Below are 16,373 nucleotides of genomic sequence, written 5' to 3'. Positions count from 1 at the left end.
TAAACACAGTTAAACCATAAAGAACCCCTAAATCATTGCTTTCAAAAACATGGCTATTTGGCTGGGCGCAGTGGCTCACGCCTGTAATCCCAGCACTTTGAGAGGCCAAGGCAGGCAGATCACCTGAGGTCAGAAGTTCAAGACCAGCCTGATCAACATGTGAAACCCTGTCTCTACTAAAAATACAAAAATTAGCTGGGCTTGGTGGCACATGCCTGTAGTCCCAGCTACTCGGGAGGCTGAGGCAGGAGAATCGCTTGAACCTGGGAGGTGGAAGCTGAAGTGAGTCAAGATCACGCCACTGCATTCCAGCATGGGCAAAAGAGCAAGACACCATCTCAAAAAAAAAAAAAAAATAGTTCAACTACTCTTAGGGTAGAGTTTCTCAGCCCTGGATCTATTGACGTGGAGGGGTGGGTGGCTGTCCGATGAATTGCATGATGTTTAACAGTATCCTTGGCCGATACCCACTAGGTGCCATTAGTACATCCTTGGTTGTGATAACCAAAAATGTCTCCAGATGTTGTCAATGTCCTCTGGGAGGCAAAATCACTCCAGTTGAAAATCATTAATTTGGCTAAAGGATAAAAGATCTGGCCAGGCACAATGGCTTATGCCTGTAATCCCAACACTTTTGTAGGCCAAGGTGGGCAGATTGCTTGAGCCCAGGAATTCGAAACCAGCCTGGGCAACAAAGCAAGACCCTATCTCTACAAAAAACACAAAATTTGCCTAGCATGGTGGTGTGCACCTGTAGTACCAGCTAATCAGGAGGCTGAGATGGGAGGATCCCGAGCCTGGGGAGGTCGAGGCTGCAGTGAGACATGATCTCCAGCCTGGGTGACTTTGAGATCCTGACTCAGGGAAAAAACAAACAAACAAAAAATCCCATTCAGAGAAAAGTTTGGAGTTGTAAGGGAAGAAGATTTTCTACCTAGCATGACAGGTGTGATAGTGAAGTATATAATGTTCTGTAGAGTGTCTGGAAAATTTTTCTTTTTTATTTGAGACGGAGTCTTGCTCCGTTGCCCAGGCCAGAGTGCACTGATGCCATCTCGGCTCACTGCAACCTCCGCCACCCAGGTTCAAGCGATTCTCCTGCCTCAGCCTCCCGAGTTGTTGGGACTACAGGCATGCACCACCATGACTGGCTAATTTTTGTATTTTTAGTAGAGATGAGGTTTTGCCATGTTGGCCAGGCTGGTCTCGAACTACTGACCTCAGGTGATCCGCCCACCTCAGCCTCCCAAAGTCCTGGGGTTACAGGTGTGAGCCACTGCGCCCGGCCAAGTGTCTGGAATACTAATTCTTATCCATTCCCACAGCATGGAACACTCATAGGAGGGCTGTAGTTTCATTAATATAAATAAGGCTAAAAATGGAAGTAATTTTTTCCCCTTTATTCAAATCTTATTAATTCTATGAATAAGTTCCCAACAATGGGACTACTGGGCAAAGAACAGGGACATCAGGTATGGACAGCCAAACAGCTTTTCCAATGCTGTCACCAGTAATGTCTGAATACATCAGCCTTTCCAAATCATACTCTATCCCCAACTCTAAGTTTCTGCAGGAGTGGGGCTAGTTCAACCCCAGCACCCACAGCCTGGCAAACAGCAGGCATTCAGTACTTGTGACTTGAATTGGATCCCCTTCAGCCTCCCATCCAGCGTATGGATGCCCTGATTCTCAGCAAACAAAAGAGGAGTGTCTGGAGGGGAGTCTAGAGTCTCTCTACCTTCCCTGCAGGACTCACGCTTTAGGGATTGCCACGCTCAGCCGCACAGGCTTAGACCCCAGTCCCACTGCTCCCTGGCACTCCGTCAGGGCTCGCTTCTGTTCCAGTTCATCTGTGAATTTCACAAAACCATAACCCCTGCATGAAAAAAATATACAATTTAGATCACAAATGTGATTAAAGTCTAAGAATGGACACATGAAAAAGAAGTAAGGATAAGAAGGTGGGCAGGAATGTAGAAAGGAAAAGAGGCTGAGAAGAGAAAGAGAGAGTCCATTAAACTAGAGGAAGAAAGGAGAGTCCCATCAACAGGTGTCCACATAGTGTCAAGATCCAAGTACAAACAATTCTAATATCTGCAGGAATTCCCACATTCAGTTCACCATCCTCCTCGACACCTTCACCCCTAGGGAACATTCCCAAATAGGAGCTTCCCCGACACCCTGCTGGAAAGTAACTCATAGAAGAAAATTCAGCAAATATTTACAGTCTGCCCTGTATGCCAGGCACTGTGCTACGCACAGGATGCAGCAGTCACAGAAAGACAACGTTCCTGCTCTCCTGAGCTCAAATTCTAGCAGAGGAATAAATTAATGCAAGCTAACATTTAATAAATATTTATTTCCCTAGCACTGCGCAGAGCATTTTCTCTCTCTTTTTTTTTTTTTTTTTGAGATGGAGTTTCACTCTTGTTGCCCAGGCTGGAGTGCAATGGCGTGATCTCGGCTCACTGCAAGCTCCGCCTCCCATGTTCACGCCATTCTTCTGCCTCAGCCTCCAGAGTAGCTGGGACTACAGGCACCCACCACCATGCCCAGCTGATTTTTTGTATTTTATTTTTTTAGTAGAGACAGGGTTTCACCGTGTTAGCCAGGATGGTCTCGATCTTCTGACCTCATGATCCACCCGCCTCGGCCTCCCAAAGTGCTGGGATTACAGGCATGAGCCACCACGCCTGGCCTGTATTTTTTTTAAAGTGGAGACCTGGGTTTCGCTATGTTGGCCAGACTGGTCTCGAACTCCTGACCTCAGGTGATCCATCTGCTTCAGCCTCCCAAAGTGCTGGGATTACAAGTGTCAGCCACCACGCCCGGCTCTTCTTTTTTTTTTTTTTTTTGAGATGGAGTCTCGCTGTGTCTCCCAGGCTGGAATGCACTGGCACGATCTTGGCTCACTGCAACCTCGGCCTCCCAGGTTGAAGCGATTCTTCTGCTTCAGCCTCCCGAGCAGCTGTGACTACAGGCACGCACCACCATGCCTGGTTAATTTTTGTATTTTTAGTAGAGACAGGGTTTCACCATGTTGGCCAGGCTAGTCTTGAACTCCTGACCTCAGGTGATCCACCCGCCTGTCTCCCGAAGCGCTGGGATTACAGGCGTGAGCCACCGCACCCAGCCTGTGCTGAGCATTTTCTCAGGGTGATCTAATCAAACTGTCTAATAATTCCATGAAAGTGGTATCCACATTTACTGAAGAGGTAACCAGTTCAGTGAGATTTAACAACTTGCCCAAAGTCATGGCAGAAGCATGATTCAAAGCCACACCTGTTGCACTCTCAAAGCCTGAGCATATAACTACCATACTGACCAAGAATGAGCCTTTCTTGAGGTTCTTCGATTTCCATTTTTTCTTTTTTTTTTTATTTGAGACAGAATCTTGCTCTGTTACCCAGGCTGGAGCACAGTTGTGTGATCTCAGCTCACTGCAACCTCTGCCTCCCGGATTCAAGCAATTCTGCCTCAGCCTCCCGAGTAGCTGGGACTACAGGCGCATGCCACCATGCCCGGCTAACTTTTGTATTTTTTTAGTAGAGATGGGGTTTTGCCATGTTAGCCAGGCTGGTTTCAAAGTCCTGACCTCAGGTGATCCATCCACCTCAGCTTCCCAAAGTGCTGGGATTACAGGTGTGAGCCACCATGCCGGGCCAACTTTTTTTTTTTTTTTATGGAGACAGAGTCTGGCTCTGTTGCCCAGGCTGGAGTGCAGTGGCACAATCTTGGCTCATTGCAACCTCCGCCTTCCAGGTTAAAGCAATTATCCTACCTCAGCCTCCCAAGTAGCTGGGACTACAGGTGCACACCACCACATCCGGCTAATTTTTTGTATTTTAATAGAGACGGCATTTCACCGTGTTGCCCGGGCTGGTCTCCAACTCCTAAGCTCACGCAATCCACCCACCTGGGCCTCTCAAAGTGTTAGGATTACAGGCATGAGCCACCACGCCCAGCCTGAAGTGGAACACTTCTAACTACACTGAAAGGCTCAGTAACAATAACAAGCAAAACAGCAAACACCTATAAAGCATTTCAAATGTGACTTACTTATATTATATCCTTTAATCCTTACATCAACCCTACAAGCAGCTATTATTAATCAGCTCCATTTTACAGATGGGGCTGTAAGGGTCACAGAGCTTCAATTCTACAATACTGGCATTCTCCCTCACCTGTATTGGAGCTGGGATTTGAACCAGGCAGTTTGGCTCCAGAGCTTGTGGTCTTAATCGCCATGCTGCAGGGCCTTTCTAAAACACCTCCACTCAGGAGAGAAAGGCTGAAACTAACACAGTTAAGCATCAGTAACAAGTAAGGCCTTACTTAGACACGCCTGTCTGGTCCAAAACCACCTTGCCTCCCCGACAGGAGGGGTAGACTTTGACGAAGAATTCATACAGCATGCCATCATCCACGTCCGGGGTCAGGTCCCCCACAAAGAGGGAATACTCAGGGCTGAGGAGAGAGAACAAGAAGATTCAGAGGCAAAGACCAAAACCTCTGCTCTGAAAAGCTCTTTTGCATATTCCAGGTAAACCTCTCCCAGGCCCCTTAAGGAAAACATTTGATGGGTCTACTTAACCAGCCCCTACTTTGTTTCATCAGAGCAGTCCTGGCAGAAGAGTTAGGGAAATAGTCCCTGCCCCAAATCCCTCACCCACTCCACAGAACTTGTCTGACTTCAAGTATTACATGAGTGCAGATGTGTGGATGGGGTCAGAAGTGCATCTAAGGCACTCAAAAGATAAAACTGCATAAAAACAGCATAATAATGCATTCTGCATTCCTTGTATATTTTAAACATAAATGTTAAAAGACAGAAAAAAAAGAACTAGATCTTATCTTCTAAGGACGTAAAGCCTAGCGAAAATTAAATCCCCAATCTTTTTTTCTGAGATGGAGTTTTGCTCGTTGCCCAGGCTGGAGTGCAGTGGTGTGATCTGGGGTCACTTCAACTTCTGTCTCCCAGGTTCAAGTGATTCTCACACCTTAGCCTGCCGACCAGCTGGGATAACAGGTGCGCACCACCACGCCCAGCTAATCTTTTGTATTTTTAGCAGAGACGGGGTTTCGCCAAGTTGGCCACGCTGGTCTCAAATTCCTGACCTCAAATGATCCACCTGCCTCAGCCTCCCAAAGTGCTGGGATTACAGGTGTGAGCTACCATACCCAACCTCTTAAACCACTGCGAGCTTGTGGGTGATACAAATCAGGCCAAAGTTTACCAACTCCTATTATAGGAGGTCAATTCTATTAAAAAAATAAACGAACACACAAACCTTTGTTATTTTTTTTTTCTTTTTGTTGAAATGGAGTATCACTCTGTCACCTAGGCTGGAGTGCAGTGGCGTGATCTCGGCTCACTGCAACCTCTGCCTTCTGGGTTTAAGCGATTCTCTTGCCTCAGCCGCCCAAGTGGCTGGGACTACAGGCACATGCCACTACATCCAGCTAATTTCCTTTTTTTTTTTTTTGAGACGGAGTCTCGCTCTGTCCCCTAAGCTGGAGTGAAGTGGCGCAATCTCAGCTCACTGCAACCTCTGCTTCTCAGGTTCAAGCGATTCTCTTGCCTCAGCCTCCTGAGTAGCTGGGATTACAGGTGCCCGCCACTACGCCCAACTAATTTTTTGTATTTTTAGTAGAGACGGGGTTTCACCATGTTGGCCAGGCTGATCTCGAACTCCCGACCGCAGGTGATCCACCCTCCTCGGCCTCCCAAAGTGCCGGGATTACAGGTGTAAGCCACCACGCCCAGCCAATTTTTGTATTTTTAGTAGAGACGGGGTTTCTCTATGTTGGTCAGGCTGGCCTCAAACTCCTGACCTTGTGATCTGCCCGTCTCAGCCTCCCAAAGTGCTGGGATTACAGGCGTGAGCCACCGCACCCGGCCTACCTTTGTTATTATCTTATTTCAGGTATGATTATACATATTATACATATTCCTTGTATAATAAGAATACACAAGGCCAGGCGCAGTGGCTCATGCCTGTAATCCCAGCACTTTGGGAGACCGAAGCAGGTGGATCACAAGGTCAAGAGTTCAAAACCAGCCTGACCAAGATGGTGAAACCCCATCTCTACTAAAAATATAAAAATTAGCTGGGCGCATTGGCAGGTGCCTGTAATCCCAGCTACTTGGGAGGCTGAGGCAGGAGAATTGCTTGGACCCAGGCGGCAAAGATTGCAGTGAGCCAAGATCATGCCACTGCACTCCAGCTTGGGCAACAGAGTGAGACTCCATCTCAAAAAAAAAAAAAAAAGAATACACAAAAGCACAGTCCAGGCACGATGGCTCACGCCTGTAATCCCAGCACTTCGGGAGGCTGAGGTGGGCAGATCACGAGGTCAGGAGATCGAGACCATCCTGGCTAACACGGTGAAACCCTGTCTCTACTAAAAATACAAAAAATTTAGCCAGGCGTGGTGGCAGGCACCTGTAGTCCCAGCTACTCGGGAGGGTGAGGCAGGAGAACGGCATGAACCCGGGAGGCGGAGCTTGCAGTGAGCAGAGATCGTGCCACTGCACGCCAGCCTGGGCAACAGAGTGAGACTCCGTCTCCAAAAAAAAAAAAACACAAAAGTGCAAAGAAAAATAAAATTGCTATAACTCAACCACTTGAAGACAATCACAATAAATGCTTTGATATGTATACTTTTGTCTTTTCTTGTGGCTTTTCTTCTAAATGTTCATAAATACGATCCATCGTATTTTGTTTCTAGTATTTTTTTTCATTTTCAACATATTGCCAATATCTTGACATGTCAGTATACTGCAATGACTTGTCAGTGGATACACCGCATCCTAACTAATGACCATAATTTAATCACTTCCCTACTATTAGGTTATTTGGGTTTTCCCCAACTTTAGCTATTATACACAATACTTCAATGAATACATCTGAGGCTAATCTTTGCACACGTCCATGAATAAATACTGAAAAGTAGAATTATAGGGTTAATGCATATAAATGTTTTTTAAGCTTTTGGTACACCGTTTTAATGCTTTCAAATGGCAACCTGAAATTCCAATCAATTTATGTTGCTATAACAGGTCAATTCATTGGGTTTCTTTTTTAAGACAGGGTCTCACTCTGTTGCCCAGGCTGGAGTGCAGTGGCACGATCATGGCTCACAGTAGCCTTGATCATTGTAGCCCTCCCTGGGCTCAGGTGAGCCTCCTGCCTCAGCCTCCTGAGTAGCTGGGACTACAGGCGCCTGCCACCACGCCCGGCTAATTTGTTGTATTTTTAGTAGAGACGGGGTTTCACCGTGTTAGCCAGGATGGTCTCGATCTCCTGACCTCGTGATCCGCCCGCCTTGGCCTCCCAAAGTGCTGGGATTATAGGAGTGAGCCACCACACCCGGCCATTTTTGTATTTTTTTGTAGAGACAGGGTTTTGCCATGTTGCCCAGGCTATTCTTGAACTCCTAGGCTCAGGCAATCTGCCTGTTTCGGCCTCCCAAAGTGCTGGGATTACAGGCGTAAGCCACTGCACCTGGCTAACAAGGCAATTCTTATTGAATAAAACTTCAATACTGTGAGGAGTAGCAGGGTAGGAAGCCAGGGGCAGGGACCAAATACAGAAAAGCCAGGGTCTTGCATGAAGCACACCAGGAAGGTCCACCAGCAAGGAAGGGAGAAGAGCGTCGTCCTTCAGGAGGGAACCAAGTGCAGCCAAACCGGCTCCCCTCCTCCTATATGGCAGTGACAGGCACAGTGACACATCTTATGTCTGTCTAGACATGACTTTGTACCTACCTGTTATCTGGTTGTTTCCCGTAAGTGGCATAGTTCAGTTTAAAACGTTTCGCCTGGAAGTTGAAAAACAAACAAACTAAAACAGAGAAAGGTGTTTCAAGAGTTGAACAATATTTGAAGAAAACTGAAATAAATTACCTTGGCCAAAACATCTCCCCCTCTCTAAGCCTCAGCTTTTTCTCCTGTATAAAATGAGGGGGTTGCACGGATGACCGCTAAGGGCACTGCCAGCTCCATGGTTCTATGAGCCCAGGTGTGCCAGCTGGTGCAGCTGTAAGCTAAGTAACTGTGGGAAGAGCAGAATGCAACTCTCTTGAAATGTGTCCTTGCTGCTGCCAGCCTATTCTAGTTTCCCAATCAGGCAAGAGGTCTAGAGTTTCAAGTCTTCGGTTATGGGAGGCAGCAATGCAGAATGGAAAGGCATGGATTTGGGAGGCAACCAATCTTCAGTCTGAATCCTGGCTCTGCCATTTACTACCTGTGTTGCCTTGGACAAGTTATTTCAATTCCCTGAGCTTCAGTTTCCTGGGCCTACAAAGATAACAATGCCTACTGTAAAGGGTTGTTTTAGGATTAAATAAAATAAGTATACAGTAGGGATTCAATAGATGGTAGTAAGCAATGACAATAATAATGGCAACATCATCATTATCTAAATGTCCTTACAGGTGTGGCTCCTGGAAGGGGTTTCCCATTAATTTTATGCAAACACTTCTCAGCTGTGGCCAAATCTGCAAATTCTACAAAGCAGTAGCCAGCTGGGATCCTGGAAAAAAAGCAAATAGAGAAAGAAAATGGTTAAAGATAAAATGGCTCAAGATGAGGCCAGGCGTGATGGCTCACGCATATAATCCCAACAGTTTGGGAGGCCAAGGCAGGTGGATCACTGAAGGTCAGGAGACCAGCCTGGACAACATGCTGAAACACCATCTCTACTAAAAATACAAAAATTGGCTGGGCATGGCGGCGCACACCTGTAGTCCCAGCTTACTCGGGAGACTGAGGGGGAGAATTGCTGTAACCCAGGAGGTGGAGGTTGCAGTGAGCTGAGATCATGCCACACTGCTCCAGCCTGAGCAACAGGCTGGTTTGAGACTGTTTTAAAAAAAAAAAAAAAAAGGCTCAAGATGGGTCTTGGCCTTGAAGGGAGAAAGAAATGTTTTTCTAATCTGAGCCAACACTGTTTTTGTTCCCTGCCATACCCCAGCTCAGACCTAATTTACAAGCCTGAATATAAGGATTGTCCATCTGGGCCAGTCCAAGATTCGTTTATCTGTATTTATTTATTTATTTATGAGACGGATATCATCTCGATCTCAGCTCACTATAACCTCTGCCTCTCAGGTTCAAGCAATTATCCTGCCTCAGCCTCATGAACACTTGGAATTACAGGTACCCACCACCATGCCTGGCTAATTTTTGTATTTTTAGTAGAGATGGGATTTTGCCATGTTGGCCAGGCTGATCTTGAACTCCTGACCTCAGGAGATCCACCCACTTCGGCCTCCCAAAGTTCCGGGATTACAGGCATGAGCCAAGGCACCTGGCCCCAGACTCATTTAGTAAACATTCATTTATGCATTTTATCATGTGTGAATACTCTTGTCAAAATTGTATTATGCAATCCCATCAAGACTTTAGATCTAATAACCAGTTCCAGGAAATTTTAGAGATAGACTATGCAAAACACCACAAGTAAACAAATGAATGCAGAATGTATGATCTGTTTTTTTTTTCTGAGACCGAGTTTTGCTCTTGTTGCCCAGGCTGGAGTGCAATGACGCAATCTTGGCTCACTGCAACCTCCACCTCCTGGGTTCAAGCGATTCTCCTGCCTCCACCTCCCAGATTCAAGCGATTCTCCTGCCTCAGCCTCCCAAGTAGCTGGAATTACAGGCATGCGCCACCATGCCCAGCTAATTTTGTATTTTCAGTAGAGATGGGGTTTCTCCATATTGGTCAGGCTGGTCTTGAACTCCCGACCTCAGGTGATCTGCCCGCCTCGGCCTCTCAAAGTGCTAGGATTACAGGCATGAGCTACCGCACCCAGCCTCAGAATATAGGCTCTTATAAAGACAACTAGTCTTACCTCCTTAAAAAGTTAAATAGTATGAGGAAAAAAAGAGGTTGGCTTTTATACATTAAAAGAGACTCAAAAAATTAGCCAGGCATGGTGGTAGGCGCCTGTAGTTCCAGCTACTCGGCAGGCTGAGGCAGGAGAATTGCTTGAACCCGGGAGGCAGAGGCTGCAGTGAGCCGAGATCGCGCCACTGCACTCCAGCCTGGGCGACAGAACAAGACTCTGTCTCAAAAAAATAAAAAATAAATAAAAATAAAAGAGACTCAGAAGAACCAAATGCAATGCAGGTTCCTGGATTGAATTATAATTCACTAATAAATGAAAAACTATCAATATTGTGGGGACAATTATAAAAATTTAAATGTAGACCTGCTATGATATGGTATTAGAGAATCACTGATAATTTTGTTAGTGTGATATAAGCATTGTGGTTATGTAAGAAAACGTCCAGTTTCGCCAGGCGCGGTGGCTCACGCCTGTAATCCCAGCACTTTGGGAGGCCGAGGCGGGCGGATCACGAGGTCAGGAGACTGAGACCATACTGGCTAACACAGTGAAACCCCATCTCTACTAAAAATGCAAAAAAATTAGCCAGGCGTGGTGGCGGGCACCTATAGTCCCAGCTACTAGGGAGGCTGAGGCAGGAGAATGGCGTGAACCCAGGAGGCAGAGCTTGCAGTGAGCAGACATCACGCCACTGCACTCCAGCCTGGGCGACAGAATGAGACTCCGTCTCAAAAAAAAAAAAAAAAAAAAAATTAGTCGGGCGTAGTGGTGTGTGCCTGTAGTCCCAGCTACTCGGGAGCCTGAGGCAGGAAAATTGCCTGAACGCGGGAGGCGGAAGTTGCAGTGAGCTGAGATCGCATCAATGCACTCCAGCCTGGATGACACGGTGAGACTGGGTCTCAAAAACAAACAAAAAAAAAATATACGAAAATTAGCTGGGTGGGGTGGTGTGTGCCTGTAATCCCAGCTACTCGGGAGGCTGAGGCACAAGAATTGCTTGAACCCGGAGGGAGAGGTTGCAGTGAGCCAACATCACGCCACTGCACTCCAGCCTGGCAACACAGCCAGACTCCATCTCAAAAAAAAAAAAAAAAAAATACAAAAATTAGCAGGGCGGGCTGGGCACAGTGGCTCACGCCTGTAATTCCAACACGTTGGGAGGCCAAGGCGGGTGGATCAGGAGGTCAGGAGTTCTGACCAACATGGTGAAACCCTGTCTCTACTAAACAAAAAAAAAAAAAAAAAAAAAATTAGCCAGGCATAGTGGCACATGACTGTAATCCCAGCTACTCAGGAGGCTGAGGCAGGAGAACTGCTTGAATTTGGGAGGTGGAGGTTGCAGTGAGTCGAGATCATTCCACTGCACTCCAGCCTGGGCGACAGAGACTCTGCCTCAAACCAAAAAAAAAAAAATTAGCTGGGTGTTGGCCGGGAGCGGTGGCTCACGCCTGTAATCCCAGAACTTTGGGAGGCCAAGGTGGGTGGATCACGAGGTCAAGAGATCGAGACTATCCTGGCCAACATGGTGAAAACCTGTCTGTAATAAGAATACAAAAATTAGCTGGGCATGGTGGTATGTGCCAGTAGTCCTAGCTACTCGGGAGGCTGAGGCAGGAGAATGGCTTGAACCCGAGAGGTGCAGATTGCAGTGAGCTAAGATTGCGCCACTGCACTCCTGCTTGGTGACAGAGCAAGACTCTGTCTCAAAAGAAAACAAAACAAAACAAAACACCAAGATTATAGAAAAGGAGAAAAGATAAGACCCAAGGAAAAATAATATGTAATATAGTCTGGGTGACAAGAGCGAAACTCTGCCTCAAAGTAAAAAAAAAAAAAAAAAAAAGAAACATGTAAGAAACAAGAGTTCCATATCTTATTTCTTTTCTTTTTTTTGAGACAGAGTCTCACTTTGTCGCCCAGGCTGGAGTGCAGTGGTGTGATCTCCGCTCGCTGCAAGCTCCACCTCCCGGGTTCACGCCATTCTCCTGCCTCAGCCTCCCGAGTAGCTGGGACTACAGGCGCCCGCCACCATGCCTGGCTAATTTTCTTGTATTTTTAGTAGAGACGGGGTTTCACTGTGTTAGCCAGGATGGTCTCGATCTCCTGACCTCGTGATCCGCCTGCCTCGGCCTCCCAAAGTGCTGGGATTACAGGTGTGAGCCACTGTGCCTGGCCCATATCTTATTTCAATAAACAGTAAGGTTGGTCCCAGTGGCTCATGCCTGTAATCCAGCACTTTGGGAGGCTGAGGCGGACAGATCACCTGAGGTCAGGAGTTCGAGGCTAGCCTGGCCAACACAGTGAAATCCCATCTATACTAAAAATAGAAAAAATTAGGCCGGGCGCAGTGGCTCACGCCTGTAATCCCAGCACTTTGGGAGGCTGAGGCAGGCAGAGGTCAGAAGATTGAGACCATCCTGGCTAACACAGTGAAATCCCATCTCTACTAAAAATACAGAAAATTAGCTGGATGTGGTGGCACACGGCTGTAGTCCCACCTACTCAGGAAGCTGAGGCAGGAGAATCGCTTGAACCTGGGAGGCAGAGGTTGCAGTGAGCTGAGATCGCACCACTGCACTCCTGCCTGGGTGACAGAGCGAGACTCCGTCTCAAAAAACAAACAAACAAAAAAAATGAGCTGGGCGTGGTGGCAGGTGCTTGTAATCCCAGCTACTCAGGAGTCTGAGAGAGGAGAAGGGCTTAAACCCAGGAGGCGGAGGTTGCAGTGAGCCAAGATGGTGCCATTGCACTTCAGCCTGGGCAACAGAGGGAGACTATGCCTCAGAAAAAAAAAAAAAAAAAAGATTAAAATGTGAGAATCTATGCCAGTGTTTTACTTATTTATTTTTGCAACAAAGTTTCCCTCTGTCACCCAGGCTGGAGCACAGTGGCACAATCTCGGCTCACTGCAACCTCTACCTCCTGGGTTCAAACGATTCTCCTTCCTCAGCCTCTCAAGTAGTTGGAATTACAGGTGTGTCTCACCACACCTGGCTAATTTTTGTATTTTTTTAGTAGAGACAAGGTTTCACCATGTTGTCCAGGCTGTTCTCAAATTCCTGACCTCAAGTGATCTGCCCACCTCAGCCTCCCAAAGTGCTGGGATTACAAGTGTGAGCTACCGTGCCCAGCCTATGCCAGTGTTTTAAAAAGTAGAAAGGGGCCGGGCGCGGTGGCTCACACCTGTAATCCCAGCACTTTGGGAGGCCAAGGCAGGCGGATCACGAGGTCATGAGATTGAGACCATCTGGCTAACATGGTGAAACCCCATCTCTACTAAAAATACAAAAAATTAGCCTGGCGTGGTGGCGGGCGCCTGTAGTCCCAGCTACTTGGGAGGCTGAGGCAGGAGAATGGCTTGAACCCAGGAGGTGGAGCTTGCAGTGAGCCGAGATCGTGCCACTGCACACCAGCCTGGGCCACAGAGCAAGACTCCGTCTCAAAAAAAAAAAAAAGAAAAAAAAATGAGAAAGGTTACAGAATGAATTTTCATACCAGTAGCTGATTATCTGGGGTTTTCTGCTTAGAAGAGCAAGAAGAGAAATATTTAGGTGGGCACGATCTACCAGTCAGAAAAACCTTTTCCTAGGTAATGGGGTTCTGAATACACAAAGTATCTTTCAAATGTCTCATCTCTATTTTTAAACCATTTGATGTTTTAGCAAGCCACATGTAGTAGAGTACCGAGAAAAGAGTGGCTGCTTGGAGAATGGCGTGAACCCAGGAGGCGGAGCTTTCAGTGAGCCAAGATCGCGCCACTGCACTCCAACCTGGGTAGTGACAGAGCGAGACTCCGTCTCAAAAAAAAAAAAAAAAGGAAAAGAGTAGCTGCTTGATAAACACTGACAAATTGATAATTCCCTAAGGAAAACTAAGACCTCAAAGAGAAAGAAGAACATGGAGGCAATAGAGAACCTCTATCTGAAAATACGCATTTGGTTATGTTTACTTATTTATTGTCTCATTCCCCACTAGAATGTAGTAAACTCCATGAGCAGGGGCTATATCTGGATTATTTCAGCCAGGAATGTATAACAGTAGAACACAGTAGTATCTCCACAGATAATTTTTTTTTTTTTTTTGAGATGGAGTTTCGCTCTTATTGCCCAGGCTGGAGTGCAATGGCGCGATCTCGGCTCACTACAACCTCTGCCTCCCAAGTTCAAGCGATTCTCCTGCCTCAGCCTCCCAGGTAGCTGGGATTACAGGCATGCACCACCACGCCTGGCTAATTTTTGGTAGAGACAGGGTTTCTCCATGTTGGTCAGGCTGGTCTCCAACTCCTGACCTCAGGTGATCCACCCTTCTCGCCTCCCGAAGTGCTGGGATTACAGGCATGAGGCACCGCACCCATCCTCCACAATTTTTTAAATGAATGGCATAAGAGTTAAGGGCCCTCATGAGCTTTCAGGATAGACTCGAATTCAAGTCCTGACTTGTTATTTATTATAACTCTTTTTTTTTTTTTTTGAGACAGAGTCTCAGCTGTCGCCCAGGCTGGAGTGGAGTGGAGCGATCTCGGCTCACTGCAAGCTCCGCCTCCTGGGTTCACGCCATTCTCCTGCCTCAGCCCCCCAAGTAGCTGAGACTACAAGTGCCCGCCACCATGCCCAGCTAATTTTTTTTGTATTTTTAGTAGAGATGGGGTTTCACCGTGTTAGCCAGGATGGTCTCAATCTCCTGACCTCGTGATCCGGCCTGCCTCGGCCTCCCAAAGTGCTAGGATTACAGGCGAGAGCCACTGCGCCCGGCTATTTATTGTAACTCTTCAAGTTATTAAGCCTCTTCATAATAGTATTTACCTACCTCAGAAGTTTCTGAGGTTTTAAGGAGATAATGGATGTAAACTGCTTATTACTCAGCAGATCGTAATCTGACTATACTTACTGAGCATATGCTATATGCCATACACTGTCCTAATGATGAATGTGAATTAACTCATTTAATCCTCACCATAACTCTAGGAGGTAGGTGCTGTTATTTCCATTTTTATACTCAAAGTGAATGAGACAGAGCAGTTAAGTAACTTACCCAAGGTCATAGAGTAGAAATAGCTTTCAAACCCAGTCTCGCTTGAGTCCTGCGTTTTTTGTTTTTTTGTTTTTTTTTTTTTTGAGACATTGTTTTGCTCTTGTTGTCCAAGCTGAAGTACAGTGGCACGATCTCAGCTCACTGCAACCTTCGCCTCCCGGGTTCAAGTGATTCTCATGCCTCAGCCTCCGGAGTAGCTGGGGTTACAGGTGCCTGCCACCACACCCGGCTAATTTTTGTATTTTTAGTAGAGACGGGGTTTCACCATGTTGGCCAGGCTGGTCTCAAACTCCTGACCTCAGGTGATCCACCCACCTCAGCCTCCCAAAGTGCTGGGATTACAGGTGTGAGTCACAACGCCTGGCAAGTCCTACCCTTAAGCTACATGCCATCCTTCCACTCATTGGGACCTCAAAATGTTAGCTGTTATAATTTTACAGTGACTATTACTAGGGGTAGTGAGAAGCCATGACTACGATGTTTACATTCTCGTACATGACAGCTGCAACGAGATGTATTAAGAGAGACCTGAGATGAGACTTACCCAGTGAGGCGGTTTCGGATAATTTTGACGCTCATTACGGTCTCCCCCATGGTGGCAAAGGCTCTGGAGATGAAGTTCTCATCCATGTAGGGTTCCAGCTGCGTAAAAACAAGAGCACAGCGGCTCAGGCCGGCGGCCGGGCTTCCCACTCCGGGTTCCAGAGCCCCTCCCGTTCAGCCCAGGGCTGGCTACGCGCCGCTGGGGGAGCGAGGGGCGAGGTTCGCCTCCACTGAGCGGCCTGAAACCCCAGCTCTTTTGGTTCAAGCTTGCCCCGCTTTAGGGAGCCTCCCCTTGGACCTAGAAACCCCACTCCTCCGGTCCCAGAACAGCGCGCCTCAGTCCTTGGATTGCTCCCATTCTATGTCCCCAAAGCACCACCTTTCCCTCCCACGAACCCAGGTGGGGCCCCAGGACCCCTAGCCTCACGGACTCAGCCTCTTCACTTAGATGCTGGAACCCGCTTCTGTGTCACCAAAAAGAACCCCCGTCACACGTCTCCCCTTTCTGGGATCCCAAGTCCCCTCCCACTCAGATCCTTCCTCTCTCGCGAAACCGAGATGCTTCCTTGTCTTCAGACCCCGGACGGCTGCCCTCACTCACGTCGCCCATCCACAGGCTGGCCGCCATACCCGCGCACCGGGGTGGGGCTTTGCGGGCGGGGCTCTGCGGGCGGGGCTCGAAGGCCCGCGCGGGCGCCAATCCTGGCTGCGGAGACCGCTACAGAGCATGCGCCTCCGACGGCTTCTGCGCAGGCTCCCGAGCGCAGCGGCCCGGGTCGGGCAGTGTGTTCAGCTCCGGGTTTTTCCTGCAACCCACTGGGCGCTAGGCTTCCGGATCGCGGTGGGCGGAGTTCAGGCTGGAATGGGGCGGGCCAGATACCACCTGGCCCAGGCGGCTGGGTTACTTGGGTTTATTTCTGACTTTATATATTTAGAAAACAA

The 16,373-nt window shown here is 47.7% G+C and overlaps 1 protein-coding gene across 2 annotated transcripts in view, besides 5 other annotated features; it reads right to left on the bottom strand.

The window, feature by feature from the left end:
* Positions 1 to 16,085, bottom strand: part of TRNAU1AP (tRNA selenocysteine 1 associated protein 1) — a 25,461-nt gene extending 9,376 nt beyond the window's left edge. Inside the window, exons 1-7 of one of the 2 annotated variants that reach the window (NR_003109.2) lie at positions 16,033 to 16,085; positions 15,433 to 15,530; positions 8,438 to 8,537; positions 7,910 to 8,057; positions 7,772 to 7,824; positions 4,336 to 4,467; positions 1,757 to 1,876 (exon numbers count right to left, since the gene is read on the bottom strand). Coding sequence is in view for 1 of the 2 variants with exons in the window: in NM_017846.5 (NP_060316.1) it covers positions 1,757 to 1,876; positions 4,336 to 4,467; positions 7,772 to 7,824; positions 8,438 to 8,537; positions 15,433 to 15,530; positions 16,033 to 16,059 (530 nt within the window). In the remaining variant the exon portion in view is untranslated. The remainder of the gene's footprint in view (positions 1 to 1,756; positions 1,877 to 4,335; positions 4,468 to 7,771; positions 7,825 to 7,909; positions 8,058 to 8,437; positions 8,538 to 15,432; positions 15,531 to 16,032) is intronic. The other variant, NM_017846.5, reaches the window with a different exon arrangement.
* Positions 14,779 to 15,073: a silencer, noted in NCBI's record as "tiled region #11894; HepG2 Repressive non-DNase unmatched - State 2:TssF". NCBI's record gives its function as "represses a minimal TATA promoter and a strong SV40 promoter by Sharpr-MPRA in HepG2 cells {active_cell/tissue: HepG2}" and the evidence as "EXISTENCE:reporter gene assay evidence [ECO:0000049][PMID:27701403]".
* Positions 16,006 to 16,145: a silencer, noted in NCBI's record as "silent region_543". NCBI's record gives its function as "represses an Ori minimal core promoter by ATAC-STARR-seq in GM12878 lymphoblastoid cells {active_cell/tissue: GM12878}" and the evidence as "EXISTENCE:reporter gene assay evidence [ECO:0000049][PMID:35858748]".
* Positions 16,006 to 16,373: a biological region, named in NCBI's record as "Sharpr-MPRA regulatory region 11844".
* Positions 16,079 to 16,373: an enhancer, noted in NCBI's record as "tiled region #11844; HepG2 Activating DNase unmatched - State 1:Tss, and K562 Activating DNase matched - State 1:Tss". NCBI's record gives its function as "activates a minimal TATA promoter and a strong SV40 promoter by Sharpr-MPRA in HepG2 and K562 cells {active_cell/tissue: HepG2 | K562}" and the evidence as "EXISTENCE:reporter gene assay evidence [ECO:0000049][PMID:27701403]".
* Positions 16,296 to 16,355: an enhancer, noted in NCBI's record as "active region_601". NCBI's record gives its function as "activates an Ori minimal core promoter by ATAC-STARR-seq in GM12878 lymphoblastoid cells {active_cell/tissue: GM12878}" and the evidence as "EXISTENCE:reporter gene assay evidence [ECO:0000049][PMID:35858748]".

Source organism: Homo sapiens, chromosome 1, assembly GCF_000001405.40.
Source record: "Homo sapiens chromosome 1, GRCh38.p14 Primary Assembly".
Lineage (NCBI taxonomy): Eukaryota > Metazoa > Chordata > Mammalia > Primates > Hominidae > Homo > Homo sapiens.
This window is presented reverse-complemented; position numbering and strand designations above follow the sequence as displayed.